Source organism: Homo sapiens, chromosome 2 (assembly GCF_000001405.40).
Source record: "Homo sapiens chromosome 2, GRCh38.p14 Primary Assembly".
NCBI classification, from domain to species: Eukaryota; Metazoa; Chordata; class Mammalia; order Primates; family Hominidae; genus Homo; species Homo sapiens.
In genome coordinates, this window is record NC_000002.12 from 102,693,959 (window position 1) to 102,712,138 (window position 18,180).

Here is an 18,180-nt window from a genome sequence, read left to right on the forward strand (position 1 = left end):
CTTTATTATTATTACTATTATTATTATTTTGATAGAGAGGGTGTTTCACTATGTTGCCCAGGCTGATCTTGAACTCCTGGCCCCAAGTGATCTGTCCACCTCGGCCTCCCAAAGTGCTGGGATTACAGACATAACCCACTGCATCTGGCCTACTTTATTATTTTGTGTAATTACTTTCTCTGCTTCTTCCATTTTGTCTTTGTTTTTGTTAGGACATGGTCCTTTTAAAATATGCCAGCTATTTGAAAAGAAAGAAAAATTAACAAAAAGTTACATTTACTGTGTTAAATCTTGGTAGCCAAATATCTTTTGTCATTACTTATCAAAGCTTAGGAGAAGTTACCCTTGAATATTAAAATGTAGTTTATAAAAAATTTATATTAAAATTTTTATATTAAACAATTTATAAATTGTATAAATATATATGAAATGCTTAAATTGTGTTTCCTGTTCAGGGAATAACTATTCGACCACTGGTGGAGTTTCTTGATGTCAAGAGGTCCAATAAGAAACAACAAGCTGTCAGTGAAGAAATCTATTGTCGGGTAGGTGTTAAGAGAGTGTAATAATTTTAATGATAAAGGAAAAATATTTGAATCAGTCAAACAGCTTGGTACCACGTTGTCCATTTCCTGAAGAAGAAGGGAATGGCAGGGTGAGAGGGAGGAGGGCCTGAAGAAGGTATTTGCTGGGGGAGTATAGAATAGATATGGCCCCACGGTAACTTCTCCAGGTTAGCTTACTAAACTCCTGCATGAGTAGAGAGACAAGAAGTCCCCTCTTCTTACTTCCTTTAGCCTGGAAATGTTCCTACTGGGAAATTATTACCATATTTCATACTTTTCAAAATTATTAACAAACTTATAGGTGAGCAAAATAATCGAAGACTTACCTAATACTGATGTGACAAACACTTCATCAGTTTGTTTGAAAATGAACTGTTTTATTGCTTTTGGTAATAAATAATAAACAAATAAGAAGCAAAAGCCATGAAGGTCTTTGGAGTTTAGAAATGATACAAGTAGAGTGAAAATTATTGATTTCAGGTAAAGACTAATCAATTTGCCTGCTTTTTCTGTTTTAGTTGTTTGATCATGTGAAGACTGGAATTGAAGATGTTTGTGGACATTGGGGTCACAACTTTTGGAGAGACAAGTAAGAAGGTCTTATGCCATTGGGTTATGAAGTGGCCCAGGGTCATTCTGAAAGCAGGACTTACTGATTTGTATTATTTTTTAATTGGAAATCTTTCCTGTGTTGTACCATAGTATGTCCTCTAAGATAAAGTTCAGCTATAACAGAGATGTGGAATAATAGTAGCTTAAACAAGGTAAAAGCTTATTTCCCTCTTCTGTAAATAGCCAGAGATAGGCAATTTAGGTTTAACAGATGAGGTTTACTCCAAGACTCCCCCAGGGTCCGAGGACTGTCTGTCTAGTCGATCCACTAAGAGTAGCCTTCATTTCCAAGGTTGCCTCTTGAACCACAATGGCTGCATCAATATTAGCCATTAGAGGCAGCAAGAAGGATGAAAGATGATGAGTAGACAAAGCATATGTGTTATTAATAGCTGCCTTCTAACTGAAACCATCAGAAGCTGCCATATGATTCTTCTGATCATTGGCTTGGACTCAGTCCTATGGCCATTCCTGTCTGCAAAGCAGGCTGAGGAATGCAATCTATTTGGCTGAAAACTAGGGCTTCCATTACTATCCATTTTGCCACACATGGTGGGAGACTTTGTCAAATGCAGAGATTCAGACCATCTAAGGATGTAAACAGATGAGCAGAAATAACGTGTATATATATATAATATATATTATATATATATTATATATATATTATATATATATATAATATATATATAAAAAGCTAAAATTATCTGAAAAATTACATACATTTATATAAATGCACATACCTACAGGCACACAGAGTTTACCATTCTGTAAAAGGCTCTGTGTTGGATAAATACAATTCAATACTGGTCTTCAAGGATCTTAAAGTTGAAGTGGAAAAGGTAGACCAGACAGGCAGAATTAGATGTATGCTTTAATATAAACTGAGAAACAGCATTATGGGTCAAGAAATTTGGTTCAATTCTGACAGCAGAGCTAGGAGCAGTGGGGTACAGGAGCCAGCCCCCACTTGCTAGTGGGAGCTCATCACGTACCTCTCTTCCTGACTGCACATTTGGCACTGTCCAGAGTGGTTGCTTGAATCAGGGCTTATATCATGGAACTGACAAATGCTACAAATCAAGGCCCTTTTTTTTCATAGAGAAATTTGTTAAACATTTATTAGCATATCACTGGCTAGGCGAGACTTTGGAAGGCAGCATTTAAGCTAATCCCTGAAGACAGAAGAACACGTTTTAAACTATATTTGGTAGATCCCTCTTGTTTTATTTTTCCTAACTTGCTAACAGAATTTTTTTTCCCTCCACTGCTAATTTACATGAAATTGACCAACCTACCAATGTCTGCAACTTAACACAAGGGAATTTTTTAGTGTTTCCTGTTTGCTCATATATGCTGGCATAATATTGGGCTACATAAGAAGTATAAGCCATAGACTCAGGCCTCTGAAATTCTGTAGTATCACAGACACAACAAAACCGTCACACAGCAAGCAGACTCCTGTGTGTGTGTATATATGGGTGTGTGAGAGAGAGACCATTAGGGAATATAATGAGTGACAAAGACATTCAGTGCTAGAACAACCTTTACAAGCTTTACAACACTGTTTACTACTGTAGACAGGGCCCTGGGACTCAGCCTTACCATATAATGAAAGGAAAAAGATTTTGTTTGTATGGAGAGCACGCCCAATTAGCTACATGGGAACACAAGGTAATAAAATTAAGCAAATTATATTCTCCATTGTAAAACTATTTTTTAAATGGCCATTTCTCAGGGGAAGTATTCCCTTTTCTGGAGGCAGGTGGTAGACCAGAGATCCTATACATCTACCCTATGACTCTGGGACATTCCTAGCATGAGGGAGTCCCCATCTGTGCTAAGCCAGTAGAACAGAACTTTTTGCCTCTCTTCTCCACTGTTTTCATAGTAATGCCTATTTTCTGCCTACCTTGTTCCTTTCAACTCAACTACTATCCTCCCTTTCCCTAGCATCCCCTCAGTACTTTTCTGAAATGACATATGAGAGGCGTAACCCAGAACAGCTGGTTCCCCTTCCAAAGTGAGTGTTAGGTTCAAGATATCTAGTGCTCCTCTGCCTCCCAAATGGGGGAATATAGATCGGCCTCACACAGTAATGAGGCCACCTGGTCCTGGGGCACTGTCAGAAGAGGTAGATGCTGTGGTCACTTGGGTTTGGCCTGGAACTCAGGAGAAGAAATGTCAGAGAAAGTCTGGCTACGTCTGTCTTTCAGGCAGAGACATTATCTCTGGAGTCCATGAATCTGCCCTAAGCACACATCCAAAGGCTGCCAGATTAATTGGCTGTAAGTCCTAAAGATGGGAGAGCCAACCTTGCTCCATGCCTGAAAGGTAATGTTACATGGCTAGCATTTGCCACTGCAGTGGATACACTTATTTTAATAATTTTGTAAGTATTGATATATTTCCACGCACAACTTTTTTTCCAGGAAAATTTCAAAGTTTCAGCACCACATCCCCCCGCACCTACTTCCCTGCTCTACCTATGATATACAGTGTCATAGACATCATAGATGCTGTATATCACAGGTAGAGCAGGGAAGTGGGTGCGGGGGGATGTGGTGCTGACACAAGACTTCTTAAAACTGTGTTCTGCTGAGATCACATCCTTGGTGATTGTTAATGTTACTAAAAATCAGCATCAAAAAGAAGCGATTGTTTCAGGCATGTTGGGTGTCTTCCCTTTTCTCTGGAATCCTTATGCTGTGGATTTCCAGTGGTTCTGCCAGAGAATTCTTGAGGCATTTGATCCTTTGAGAATGAAACGAAGGGTGATACAGTAGGGACCCTTCTCACTCTTGGCACAAGCAGTCTAATGATGGTGAAATAGAATGCCTATGTGTAGCTTAGCAGAGAAATGAAAGGTGTGGAAATGAAGCAAGGAAAACGCACTATCCCTACACGAAATAGAGCAGATGCCATTGTTCTTGGTGCTTGTTCTTCCTTTTACTCTCTCTAGTGAAAAGCTAAAACAACAATAATAATAAAAGAAGTTTTAAAAGATGTGTTGCTGTCAGGAGTCCTGGTCCAATGGGCCTAACATAAAACTCCAATTAAAAGTAGAGAAAAGTAAACCCAGTCCTTAGTGTAGTGGCCAGCCAAAAACCAAGCACATTCAGGATGGCTCTTCTTTAATTATTCAGAGCCCTCTAGTATTTAGAACAAAGGACTATCAACAAGAATGTAGGTTAACATCGATTCCTTCCACGGCACAGGTGTGTCTATAAACCTCCTTGGGCTTGTGGTGATCACGTAGTACACTTATTTCTTTCTCAACAAATATTTATTGCATGCTGCTTCACTTATGTATTGGCATAATAATGTTGTATAACAAACCATCCCCAAAACTCAGCTGCTCAGAACACGTCATTATTATTAAAGTGCATGAGTCAAGAGGCTGATTGGGGTTGGGCTTGGCCAGTTGGGGCCAGGCTTGTTCATGTGCTCCAGTGGGTTGGCTGGCTGCCAGCTGATTCTGGCTAGATCTATCTGGTGTGATTGGAGTGAGGTGACTCTGCTCCATGTGACAGTCACCTTTGTCCTCGGACTAAGGAGCCACTCTGCATATCCTTCTAATAGTGATTGTTGAAGCACAAGAGGTAAGCCTCCATGTGCAAGCCCAGGTTAAGCCACTGTTTCTTTCATTGTGTCTGCTAATAGCCCACTGACCAAAGCAAGGAACATTATTGAGCACGCTGGCAAGGAACAGGGCAAAGCAAGTCATCTGTGCCATGATGGAAGGTCATTGCCAAGTAATATGGCAGAGGGTGTGGATACAGGGAGGACTTGGGACCAAATGATTCATTCTACCACACGTGCTTACAGTGTGCCAGGCACTGGTGACACAGAAAAAAAAATCTCTGCCCATGTAGACCTTACATTCTGTGCTAGGAGACAGAAAGTAAGACAAGTAAATTGTATGTCATGCTAGAAAGTGATAACTACTATGGGGAAAAATACATCTGGGCAGCGAGATGGGGACTGCTGGGGGAGGAAGGTTGTGTGCAATTCTAACAGGATGGATAGGAAGGGCACTTGTGAGAAAATGATTGTCAAGGAAAGACTTAAAAGAAGTGTAAAAAGTGAGCCCTGAAGGTATCTGGGGGAAAAGGATTCCTAGTAGAAGGAATAGTAAGTATAAAGACTCAGACATGGGAGCACTGCTGGTAAGTCTTTAAGATAGGAAGGACACCAGTGACGCTGCAGCTAAGGAAGAGGGGCACAGTACCAAGAGGGCCAGATCCAGATTGTGTAGGAAGTCACAGACCATTGTACTTGTACCCAAGGAAGATGCAGGACAGTTACATCATTAGACATATTTTTAACGGGAGCACTTGGGCTTCTGTAGGAATGCAATGGTGGAAGCAGGAATGCCAATTTGGTGCTCACTACAAGAATCCGAGAGAGAATGATGTCTTGGACCTGGGTGATAGCATTAGATGAGGTGGGAGATGGCTGGATTTTGTATGTATTTTGATGTGGAACCAACAGAAATTGCTGATGGCGCAAAGATTTGGAGTACTAGTCTGCTAGGGCTGCCATAACCAAAGTACCACAGATTGAGTGGCTCAACAGAAATGAATTGTCTCATAATCCTGGGGGCTAGAAGTCAGACAGCAAGGTGTCAGCAGGGCTCATTTCTTCTGAGGGCCACGAGGGAAGGTTCTGTTCTACGCCCCTCTGCTTGGCTTGTAGATGGCTGTCTTCTCCCTGCCTCTTCACATCATCTTCCCTCTCTCTGTATGTTTTGGAATCCAAACCTCTTCTTTTTATAAGTACACCAGTCATTTTGGATTTGGGCCCATTTTGATGGCCTCAACTTAATCACTTCTGTAAACACTAGATCTTCAAATGTGGTCATAGTCTGAGCTACTGGGGATTAGACTTTAACATATGAATTTTTGGCGGGACACAATTCAGCCCATAACATAGAACATGAGAAAAGTAGAAGAATCCAGGATGACACCAGGATTTTTGACCTGGTGGAGTCATCGTTTGCTGAGATGGGAGGACTCTGGCAGAATATCAGTTCAGTTTGAATATGTTAAATTTGGGATGCCCCATAGATATCCAACTGCAGATGTTGAGTAAGTAGCCAAAAGCTCATATCTGGGGTTTGGCCGAGAGGTTGGAGCTGGAGATACAAATCTGGGGGTCATTGGCATAGAGATGCTATTAAAAGCTAGGAGACTGGGCAAGATGGTGACGGGAGTGAGTGGCGGTATGAAAGAGGATTAAGAACCGAGGCCCAGAGCACTCCTACATTAACAGGTCAAAAGAAGAAAACAAAACTGAGAGGGAGGGTGAGAAGGAGGTTGGGGTACCCCAGGGTGGTGTCCTGGAAGCCAAATGAAGACAATAGTTTACACAAGTGAGGGCAGGAAAGATGAGGATTCATAATTGCCCACTGCAGTTATATCATGAGGTTCACAGACCACTTTGATAAGAGTAGCTTTAATGGAGTATTGAGGCAATGTGAATGTTCAAGAGAGAATCAGAGGAGAGGAATTGGGGAAAACAAACAGTGATAACGTTTCTGAGCAATTTCGCTAAAAGCAGAAGTAGAGAAATGGTAAAGACAGAAACATGTATTTTAATCTGTAATTAATGAATACTAGATTTATGTGCATCAGGGTCATATACAAAAATGTAGCAGTATGTGTCATATATACATATATGTGTATGTGTATGTATATATACATATGTATACATACACATACATATACATACGCATACACATATATACATATATACACATACACATATACATATATACAGGTAGGCACATACTAAATATATAAAATGACCAGATTAGCTAAATGCTGCTACTAAGTATTTTCCTGGGAATGGCAGAAATGACTTCATTGGTAAAAACAACAACTATTTTCTTAGTCAATCCAGTATTAATTTATTGAAAGTTTCTTTATTTACAGGTTTAAGAAGTTTGATGATAAATATCTGCGGAAGCTTTTGATTCGGGAAAACCAACCAAAGTCAAGTATTGTATCTTTATATAAAAAGCTTGAAATAAAACATGCCATTGAGATGGCAGAGACTGGGATGATAAGTACTGTCCCTACATTTGCATCTCTAAAGTAAGTATGGTCTTGCAAATAAAAGTTAGTATTGTTAAATAGGCATTGATAGTATTTTGAAACTGGTAATAATAATTTTAAAAAAATTATTATTAATTGATCCGCCCCCCTCGGCCTCCCAGAGTGCTGGGATTACAGGCATGAGCCACTGTGCCCAGCTGCAAATACTGAATCATTTTTCTATGGGGACATAAAGGTTAGGTTCCTTTGAGCCTGTGGTCACAAAATTTTCATCAGCCAATCAATATGTAACCTATTTTATGTATGTTTATGTTTACAGACACCTTATTTAATATATATTGCTAATTCATTAACATTGAATTGATGGTCAAGAACACTATAAATTCATGTATGATCAAGCTTAGTTAACAAATTTTCTCCATAAGGCACATCACAGGGTTCTTGTGCTTGGGAACTCTAGACAGCACTTCAGCAATGCCTGGGGGCCATTTAAAGCAGCAGAACCACCAATAAATAACATAAAAATATTAAAAAATCATGTCACTAAATAGACTGTGAGAAGGACATTATTTATAGTATGAGAGTGGAAACAAGAAAGCAGATGTCTCCTTGTTCAACATCTTCAGGGAAACTGTGTCAAGTGACTCAAATTTTTTGTCACTCTCCATATGTCTGAGAATAACTGCAAAAATACTGAAATTCTGATATTGGGTTTATAAATCAATATTAGCAAGTAGGTGAGGTGAGTTCATGATTATGGAACCCACAAATGAGGATTGACTGGATATACATACATGTTATAAATGGTGTGTTTGCAAATATTTATGATGAGGTTTTTAAAATATGAAAACTTAATGGTAAATTGAAGTCAATTAGGTTTCTGTTGGAGAAAACTATTCTATTTTACTTTATTTATGGAGTGTTAGAAATAATAAAGTGAGGTAGCATTATAAGCCATTGTAGTTTTTCTTCCCTGAAAACATAATGACATGAATAGATTCTGAAAACTTGTGAATTGTTAAACTTGCCATGAATGATTTTGAAACTGAAATAAGAGTCACAGAATTTGGAATTATTTTAAGTTATTGAATAATCCCTAAGTGCTATTTTTACAAATTAAGACTTGTCTTAAATACTTATATCTCTAAGGAAGAAAATCAATGATTCTAATATTTGTTGAAAGGTAAAATATTCTTTTTCTAAACTTTCACAGTGATTGTCGTGAAGAAAAAATAAGGAAGGTCACGTCCAGTGAAACTGATGAAATTCGAGAACTCTTATCAAGAAATCTCTATCAAATCCGTCAGCGAGTAAGAATAATTTATGTAGCAAAATATTTACTTACCTTTGGCTAACAGGATGCCTTCTGGTTTTGTGCTGTAACTGGAGGCTGCATCTTGACACTGGGCTCAGCAGGTCCCATGCTGGGCATCTTCTCTCCTTCTGCTTCTCTCCATCCCTCTTCAGGGTCCTACTATCCTCCTGGACACCATGGCTGAAGCCTTGGGGTCCCCTGGGAGTTCTGCTGCTGTGGGCTTGGATACAAAGAAATACACGTTGACTAATTTTAAAGAAATGAATTGATTGCTGTTTGTTTTAAAGAAATAGTTTTATAGCTTAGACTTTAAAAATGGACCTCACCCTCCTTGTTATTTATAAAGTGCTATAGTTTCTTCTCTTCTGAGCCACTTCTTTCACTTCGTTTCCATTGTTAGCACCTTATTCTAATAATTTGCTAACAACACAGCTACAGAGTAGAGAGTGTCCTCAATTTTCCAAGCCCCATTTCAGTGTGTTGCATGCATTAACTCATTTAATCCTCCAGTGAGTGGTAGGTGTTACTGTTGTCGCCATTTCACAGATAAAGAAATTGAGGCACAGGGAGGTGAAGTGGCACACGGGCCACACAGCTTGTCAGGAGTCCTCCTTGCTCATGTGGGGGCTGTTTCAGCAGCTTCTTAGCTGGTGTCCCCATAAGGTGTCCCCATTTCATCCACGTGACTCTTACCTGACCCTTTTTCCTACAGTACCTTTTAATTTAAAATGAAACAAAACATTAGTTGTGGCTCCCAAGCTAAACTATTCGTTGAAAATTTGGACTCTATTTCCAAGTTCCACTTTATCCAACCATATTTCCACATCTGCCTCACCCATCTGCTCCCTGAAACACCCAGGGAGTGAGAGGTTCTGTTTTCGTTCTTTGGCCCAGGTAGCTTTCTCGCTGTCCCCTGGGAGCATCTCACACCTTCCTGTCAGCTGGTCAAAAGCCTCCAGTTTTTAAGGCTCCCCCAACAGCCACCATATTATTCCCATCCTTGTGGTTAAATGGAATAGCACTTGGAGCTTATACTGTACCATGTAGATACAGCACTTATTTCCATGATTTTGCATAATTTTGTTAGCCTTAGATGCTCAGTGAGATGGTAAACTGCTCAAGGCAGGAATGAAGCCTTGTTCTGTGTTATGTTTGCATCTCTCAATAGAACCTAATATATTTCTGGACACAGGGATATTCCCAAGAAGTACATGTTTATTCTATCAGAAATGAATTTAATTATTATTTATGATTTAGGAAACACATTTCTATATAGCCTATAAAACTAAAAGTGGATTCCATGTACAGCCCTAGTTTAGAAATTTTACTTTTCAAACACTGGGATGTAATCATTGTGGGGAGTGTCACCAGCTCTCTTCATGTAACAACCCAGTTGAAAAAAGGGAATGTGCTGAAGTTAATCAGAAGGGCATGGCACCACCAAGTGGCTCAAAGTGGTTTGTTTTTAATGTCAGTAATTCCTATTCAAAACAGACTGTAGGATGGTGGCTTGTATTTTATTTCCAGATATTCATGATGGCTAAATACCTACAAGAGGCTTCAAGGTAGACATGGCACTTGATGAAATCAATCATTGTTCTCATTTATGAAAATCACACTTTTCAATGAAAAACAAACCTTATGATCTGACTTTTATTAAAGGATGAACTATGTGGCACATACCTGTAATAACAACTTGGAAGGCTGAGGTGGGAAAGTTGCTTGAGCCCAGGAGTTGGAGGCTGCAGTGAGTTATGAGTGCCACTGCATTCCAGCCTGAGTGACAGATCAAGACCCCAACTCTAAAAAAAAGAAAAATAAAAAAACACAAAATGAAAAGAAAATATAAATTCTTTGAAGATCTGAAGACTGTTAACTTTTATACTGTTAATTTAATTTTTTGCTCTGCACAGAAGTTATAAGTGCTTAGCTGAGGTGCAGATCCAAAGAAATGTGGTAAAGTCTTGGAATTTCTGGGGGAAATGATCAGGTTTTTGTTTTTGTTTTTTAATGTCCTCTATATGTTTTCATTCCAGACTTTATCCTACAACAGACACAGTCTGACAGCCGACACAAGTGAGAGACAAGCCAAGGAGATTCTGATTCGCCGGCGACACAGTTTGCGAGAAAGCATTAGGAAGGACAGCAGCTTGAATCGAGAACACAGGGTAACTGAGTGTGCGCCTCTAGGAGACTTCCAGGGGTGGAGCCGACAGCTATTCCATTGATCAGCTGATGGTATCATCAGCTCTGCAGATCAAGTGGCTGTTGACAGTTCTCTGAGGAGCTGCAGGAAGGCTGGGGTGGCCGGGGGAAGTGAGTGTTCACAGGTATTGTGGCCAGCATTGCCACTAGTTCAAGGAACTGTCAATAGATAAGGAAAGCCATTTAAAAACAATATCGTGGGCCGGTCGTGGTGGCTCATGCCTGTAAATGCCAGCACTTTGGGAAGCCGAAGCCGAGGCAGGTGGATTGCCTGAGCTCAGGAGTTCGAGACCAGCCTGGGCAACACGGTGAAACCCCATCTCTACTAAAATACAAAAAAAAAATTAGCTGAATATGGTGGCGTGCGCTTGTAATCCCAGCTTCTTGGGAGACTGAGACAGAAGAATCGCTTGAACCTGGGAGGTGGAGATTGCAGTGAGCCGAGATTGGGCCACTGCACTCCAGCCTGGATGACAGAGCGAGACTCCTTCTCAATAATAACAATAATAATAATATTGTGATATATTGGTTTCACATAGCAAGAATTGAGGCTTATTTTTAATAATATCCTATATTGGGTTGTCAGAAATCAAAATGGTTATATGTGAACAAGGAGTTATTTTATGTGTAAAATGTAGCAGTGTTAATTAAAAGTTAATTTAAAACACTAGCGACTGCGGTATTTGAAATGCCAGTAAATTAGCTGTAGTAATACTTTTTGTTCTATTAATATCATTTTTAAGATATATTAAAGTGAAAAAAAAAACACCTTACATATATATATTGTAAACATATCTTCTTCCCCATACATGTAGGTTCTAAGTCTTTCTGGCAGTACTTTTATACATAGATGTTTCAGTAGCTTTTCTTTGAGAAGACCCAGTGGTTTTCATATTTGTTTCTAATTTATTTCCCACTTATTCCTATTTCCCTTTGTAGAGATCTCCATTCCATTCTGGAAGGGATTTAATTATTTCAAGTTATAATAGTTATAGCCCCTCACAAAGTAATTTTGGAATCAGAAATTAAAATTCTGATTTTTAACATGAAGTTTTGCTATACAATTTTTAATCTTTAATATACAATAAGTGCCATTTGTATAGTTTAAGTAAGATTTTATATTTCTTTTACAGGCTTCCACTTCAACCTCCCGATATTTATCCTTACCTAAAAATACGAAGCTTCCAGAAAAGCTACAAAAGAGGAGGACTATTTCTATTGCAGGTAGTGAATATAGTTGGAGCAGAAAAATTTTAAATTTATTTGCCAATGTTTATAAACTAGACAAATTTTCCTATTATTTTTCTTCATTAAGAATGAGTTCCGGCCGGGCGCGGTGGCTCACGCCTGTAATCCCAGCACTTTGGGAGGCCGAGGCGGGTGGATCACGAGGTCAGGAGATCGAGACCATCCTGGCTAACAAGGTGAAACCCCGTCTCTACTGAAAATACAAAAAATTAGCCGGGCGCGGTGGCGGGCGCCTGTAGTCCCAGCTACTCGGGAGGCTGAGGCAGGAGAATGGCGTGAACCCAGGAAGCGGAGCTTGCAGTGAGCCGAGATTGCGCCATTGCAGTCCGCAGTCCGGCCTGGGCAACAGAGCGAGACTCCGTCTCAAAAAAAAAAAAAAAAAAAAAAGAAAAAAAAAAAAAGAATGAGTTCCAATGAGAACACTTGGACACAGGAAGGGGAACATCACACGCCAGGGCCTGTTGTGGGGTCGGGGGAGTGGGGAGGGATAGCATTAGGAGATATACCTAATGTAAATGGCGAGTTCATGGGTGCAGCACACCAACATGGCACATGTATACATATGTAACAAACCTGCACATTGTGCACATGTACCCTAAAACTTAAAGTATAATAATAATTTAAAAAAAAGAATGAGTTCAAGAGTTTGCAAATCTAAAATAATAACTGGGTGAATTTTAATTCGCATTGCAACCTTTTGGAATGGCATTCTGTGCAGATTCTAAAGAATCCAATCAGTTATTTTCCAGCAAATATTGTCATCATGGGGCCCAAGGGCAGGTAAACAAAAAGTTGTAAGTCTGCAAATGTTTAAGTAATTAAATTTTTACAGTAATTCTAATATATTTTCATGAAAGCAGCCATATATTTATTCTGGCTATAACTATAAAGCTTTGTTATAATGTCTAATATCTTTTTAATGTGATGGTTATCTTTATGTAGACACCGAAGCCATTGTCTGTGAACCCCAGAAGAACTATATTAGGATTTCATGTTATTAAAATGTGGGATGTCTAAGGGAATTAATGCAGAAATAGAAAACCAAATACCATATATTTTCACTTACAAGTGTGAGCTAAACATTAGATACACAGGACACAAAGGCGGGAAAAATAAACACTAGGGATTTCAAAAGAGGGGAGATAGGGAGCTGGGCAAGGGGCAAGGGTTGAAAAATTACCCATTGGTACTATGCTCACTACTTGGGTGATGGGATTATTACAAGCCCAAACATTAGCACCATGCAATATACCCATGTAACAAATCTGCACATGTACCCCTAGAATCTAAAATAAAATTTTCTTTAAATGTGGGATGGAAAAATCATTACCCCTCTTTTTTTATTTTTTTTTTTTTGCTTGTTTATTTAATTAACTGAGAAGAGGGAAACCTAAATGATGGCTGGTGGTAAAGGAGTGTGAGGTGAGAATAATAGGGGGAAGACAAGGCAGCACTGAATATTTAGAACAGTGGCCCGTGGTCCCACCAGCAAACATGTTCTCAGTTCCCAAGAATCTCAACTCCTGGACAAGCATTTTGTTCACTGCCCTACCCGTAGCACTCTAGCACCTGAATCTGCTTCCAAAGCTGTCTCCTCCCTTTGTTTGCAAAGGGTTTTCGCCCTTTTGTGGAAATGTAAAGGAAATCAGCAAAACCATGTTTGAGGTTCCAGATCAAGGCAAGAATCTTCTCCATAGCAGGTGATTATCAGACTGCCTACTGTGTGCCAGATGCCAGGCTGAGCCCTCCTGGGATCATTACTGTGGGGCAGATGAGCACAGCTGCTACTGCCAGAGGGGCTCTGTTGGAATCCCAGCTCCACCATCTACAAATACCTCTTGAACCTAGTTACCCCATCTGTAAAGTAGGTGATTGTGAAGACAAAATGGGCTAATGCATTTGAAAGGACTTAGGACAGTGCCTGGCACACAGTAAGTTCTTCAAAGTTAGCATGAATATATACCTGTGGGTATGGGTGCTCCCAGGGGTTATGTAAGATGCACAAGGCCACTCACCTAAAATTAGCATAAGCCTGCTAGCCTCCCCTCTCCCCAGAGCCCCAGGACGTATCAGTTGCCTGACTCACTAAGGTACTGAAGTTACTTGCAATGCCTTCTCTCTAAAATGCTTGCCCACCTTGTCTTTTGCTCCGTGATAGATGGCAATAGCAGCGACTCAGACGCAGATGCCGGGACCACCGTGCTCAATTTGCAGCCCAGAGCCAGGCGCTTCTTGCCAGAACAGTTCTCCAAGAAATCCCCCCAGTCCTATAAAATGGAATGGAAGAATGAGGTAGATGTTGATTCTGGCCGAGATATGCCCAGCACCCCCCCAACACCCCACAGCAGAGAAAAGGGCACCCAGACGTCAGGCTTACTACAGCAGCCCCTTCTCTCTAAAGACCAGTCTGGCTCAGAGAGGGAAGACAGTTTGACTGAAGGCATCCCGCCCAAGCCGCCACCACGGCTGGTCTGGAGGGCATCGGAACCTGGAAGCCGGAAAGCCCGATTTGGGAGTGAGAAGCCTTAAGAGAAGCAGCGAAAGCAGATCTGAGTGTCTGACCCAGGACAGCTGTGGTTTGTCACTCTGAAACCTGATGCAACAGTGGAATCCATGTAAAACTCTCTGTGCATCTAAATACTTCTGGAGGGCGACAGATTCATGCCACGGATAAATGAGGCAAATCCGAAGAAAAGGAAAATCGAATAAAAAATAGTCCCACAAAATACCTTTTGTGACTAATGGGTAGCAATCGTATTATTTGCTGGCCTGAAGAGAAAAAATGGTAATGTGTGCCTTTATTGAACTTGAATGACAGAACTTGAAATTTTTAACACATCCTTCTTGGTGAAGATTTTAATATATTACTTATATGCTTCAAATTTTATTTATGAAAAAATATGTATATCTGTAATCAGTTGTTAAGTGAATGGCACTAAAAGTATCGAGAACAGCTTTCTTTCCCAGGGGTGAAGGATGGCGCTCGGGGGTGACTCCTAAGCTCAGCGTGGAAGCTTTTCCCTGTCCTGACCCGATGGAGCAGCCGGTAAGTGAAGAGCACAGCTGGAAGCAGAGACACCTTATGACTCAAACTGGGCAAACAATCGGAACGTCATGCAGAAGGAATGGCCTGACTCCTGCAGTGCAGATTGGAGGCCCCAGAACTCCTATGAACTACTGAGAGTCTACTGGTTTTTAACTTGTTCCTCTGTCTACTGTGTGTTTGGGGGTGACATCTAAATTCCATTTCTTCTTCTTGTTTAAATGGTGCAGAGAGAAAGGTTGCCCAGACATCCACCAGCTTACTGTGTTGACAGATTTGGGAGCAGCTTTTGATGAAGTTCCACCCATGAGGGTCCATGTGGCAAGTAGGGCCACAGGGCAGCACCTGGTTACAACTTGCTGGTGGGTTTTATGTTGTGCAATACTAGGAGGAGGAGGCAGGTGATCTATGCTGATCTATGATCACCTGCTTCAGTAGAATTTTTCTGTAGAGTGTTGTTTGAATTTTGAGCCTCCAGGTTAGAGGCTCCAAGCAGACAAAGAAGAAAGTTTGTAGACACAATATTCTAACATTGCACAAGTTGATGAGATATCAAGTTTTGAATATTATTCAGGAAGCACTTTGGAGAATGTGGGAGTCCTACTGTTTTGCACTAGTCTGTAATTTGTTACCTCTCCCCATTCGATAATATAGTAACTCAGAATTTTCATATAAAATTGAATTCTACTCATTAGAGTACTTTTTAAAAGTACAGCAGAAAGAAAAGAAGTGGAACATAAGCATTCAAGATTAATATTTGATTCTCTATCTCTTAACTGTAGATTTTATTGGCCTGTTTTTTTTTTCTAAATAATTCTTTAAAACTTGACTGGAACATGCCTCTGCATTTCTGAGTGTAGAAATTAAATGAAGCCACTCACAGTCCTTTGATTTCCCACTGAAGATACCCCAAAGGATGCAAGTGCCTACAGTATTATCAGGAGGAGAACATGAAAATATTAAGACAAAAATCCTCAGCAGTTGTTCTCCACCCCTTCTCCACCTCCACCAGCAAGGAGAAGTCAATCTACACTTTTTTCTCATGTTCTAAAGTCTTAGAATACTGCTGGATTGTTGAGCATGAGACAGAGCAAAGGTTAGATACACAAGGTACAAGTTCATAGGAGCACAATTCCTTGATTCAGGGAAAGTAGCACAGAATGCAATTTGAAAACTACAGGCTTAGGACTCTGTGCCAAAAATCTCTATTTTAAATGAAAATATTTATATAAAAATACATTTATTCTGCTTAACACAAATTAAAACTGACATAAAATTTTATGATAATAACATGATTCAAGAAATGTGATGTAGATTTTTGAGAATGCCAAAAATCAGGTTTCAGAAAAGCTACAGTATGAAATCTGAAAAGCAACAGAAATTGAAAGTGACCTTAAAGAATAAATTTCCTAATTTTTCCCAGTTTCCTATGTTTATAACTATTATAAAGAGTTTAACTTTCTGGAACTGAAGGAGAAAACATGAAAATGTTTATATTGCTTCTTGTTAAGCAGGTAGACCAAATTCCGCTTTCAGTAATTCATCCATACAGAATTTGGATGACTATGTATAAAGGAAAACTTAAATCTTAATTATTATCAGTTTAAATTTTTTTTGTTTGTTGAATGACAAAGGCAATAAAAATAAATTTGACTTTAGCTTTTTTTCTATACTTTCCTCTTTTTGTAATTCTTAAATTCTAGTCACTAGTCATTATGAGAGTATTGACTAAATATTTTCACAATCTAAATATTGTCACAATCTAAATTTCTGTAGTAGAGAGAGCCGTAGCCCTTTGTAAAGGCTTTCGTTCGTCCAAACAACACTTGATCCAACCAAAGTTCCAATGTGACTGTGGATCTTTGATAGGTCTTTGGTGTTGGTTGTAACAAAATTTGATTTGAACTACCTATAAATGAAAAGTCGGGGTTTATTACTTTATATGTAATGCTGAGAGGAGACTGTTGGGAACAGTTATGTCAATGAGCAAACTAGAAATTGGCTTCAAAGTCTAATACTTTTAAAAGCATGTGTTTTGTGTATATGCTCACAAAATGTCTGTGAAGAGATTTCTTTCAGCTTTTGCTCAGCTTTATGGTGGGGTGTACTGTTTTATCTGGGCGGTGAGGGTATTGATTTACATAAAAACTGTAGACAAACACAGTACGAGTCTCAGCACGTTTTGCATTTATTGTACTGCCCAAATTGTTTTTATGTTAAAAGTCACGTTTCATAATCTGCAATATTTTTGTCAAAGTGCACACTGTACTTTCTTCTTAAAAACGTGATTAAAGAGATCACTTTGTCCGGATGAAGCAGCTGTTGGCATTATCCGCTGAGGCTTGAACACCACGTGCTGATTCTCTCATCAATCTGAAAAATAACACTCGTGGCTCAGAACACACAAGGTTAAAGTGTGTGGCGCACTGCTACTTTTTATCTCACTTTTTAACCAACCCTTTCTTCAACCCTCTTCTAAGGAAAGCAGAAGTCCCCTTTGGGTACCAGCTGTGTGGCATAACCATGGCTCCTTGTCCCTGACAGATGACACCTTCCTTTAGAATCCACCAGCATCATCCACTCTGCGTCTAGCTGACACCCTCAGACAGGGATCAGCCACCCTGGGGCGTGCAGGTCAAATATGCAGATGGGGACTTTGCAGACCACTTCAGTGTCACGCTGGCACATCATTTTTGATCCTTTTTCCTTTTTAAACTTCCTGCACCTTTTCAGATAAAATCATATTTTACTATGTATAGCTAATAAATCGTAGTTTTGTTCTCTTAATCGCATGGTCAGGAAATGAGTTTTTCTAGGTGTAGAGTTAACCTGTCTACTGTGAATGGATTATTATCAACTTTTCAATCTACACAGCATAGAGATTATTTTGATGGCTCAGAACATACGTCAAGAACTTTCAGTATGTGCAGAGGTTGTATGGGAATCTGTTGTTCTCCTACTGGAGGGTACGGAAATGTCACTCCATGAGATGCCCAGCAGACAGAATACCAGATACAGAGGCTGTGATTTTTCTGATTTCTGGAACAAAACATCTTGAATTAAAAATTCAGACATTTTAATCCTTTTTTATTTTATTGGCTCCTGCTGAGTCATAAGTATGACTGGAGACTAAAT

The 18,180-nt window shown here is 39.6% G+C and overlaps 1 protein-coding gene and 1 long non-coding RNA gene across 3 annotated transcripts in view, besides 1 other annotated feature; one reads left to right on the forward strand and one right to left on the reverse strand.

The window, feature by feature from the left end:
- SLC9A2 (solute carrier family 9 member A2) overlaps nt 1-17,397 on the forward strand; it is a 91,803-nt gene extending 74,406 nt beyond the window's left edge. For both annotated transcript variants that reach the window (NM_003048.6, XM_047445572.1), the window contains 7 exons: nt 456-545; nt 1,085-1,155; nt 7,112-7,273; nt 8,448-8,544; nt 10,586-10,717; nt 11,888-11,978; nt 14,161-17,397. In NM_003048.6, coding sequence (NP_003039.2) covers nt 456-545; nt 1,085-1,155; nt 7,112-7,273; nt 8,448-8,544; nt 10,586-10,717; nt 11,888-11,978; nt 14,161-14,531 — 1,014 coding nt within the window. In that variant the 3' untranslated portion in view covers nt 14,532-17,397. The remainder of the gene's footprint in view (nt 1-455; nt 546-1,084; nt 1,156-7,111; nt 7,274-8,447; nt 8,545-10,585; nt 10,718-11,887; nt 11,979-14,160) is intronic.
- LOC124905954 (uncharacterized) lies at nt 8,538-14,216 on the reverse strand. Its single transcript, XR_007087163.1, has 3 exons — nt 14,139-14,216; nt 10,233-10,351; nt 8,538-8,769 (listed from the first exon to the last, which is right to left on the reverse strand). It is a non-coding gene; the product is annotated as an uncharacterized LOC124905954 (long non-coding RNA).
- Nucleotides 14,336-14,836: an enhancer, noted in NCBI's record as "H3K4me1 hESC enhancer chr2:103324753-103325253 (GRCh37/hg19 assembly coordinates)". NCBI's record gives its function as "activates a minimal SCP1, AML or CMV promoter by ChIP-STARR-seq in primed H9 embryonic stem cells {active_cell/tissue: H9 hESC(primed)}" and the evidence as "EXISTENCE:reporter gene assay evidence [ECO:0000049][PMID:30033119]".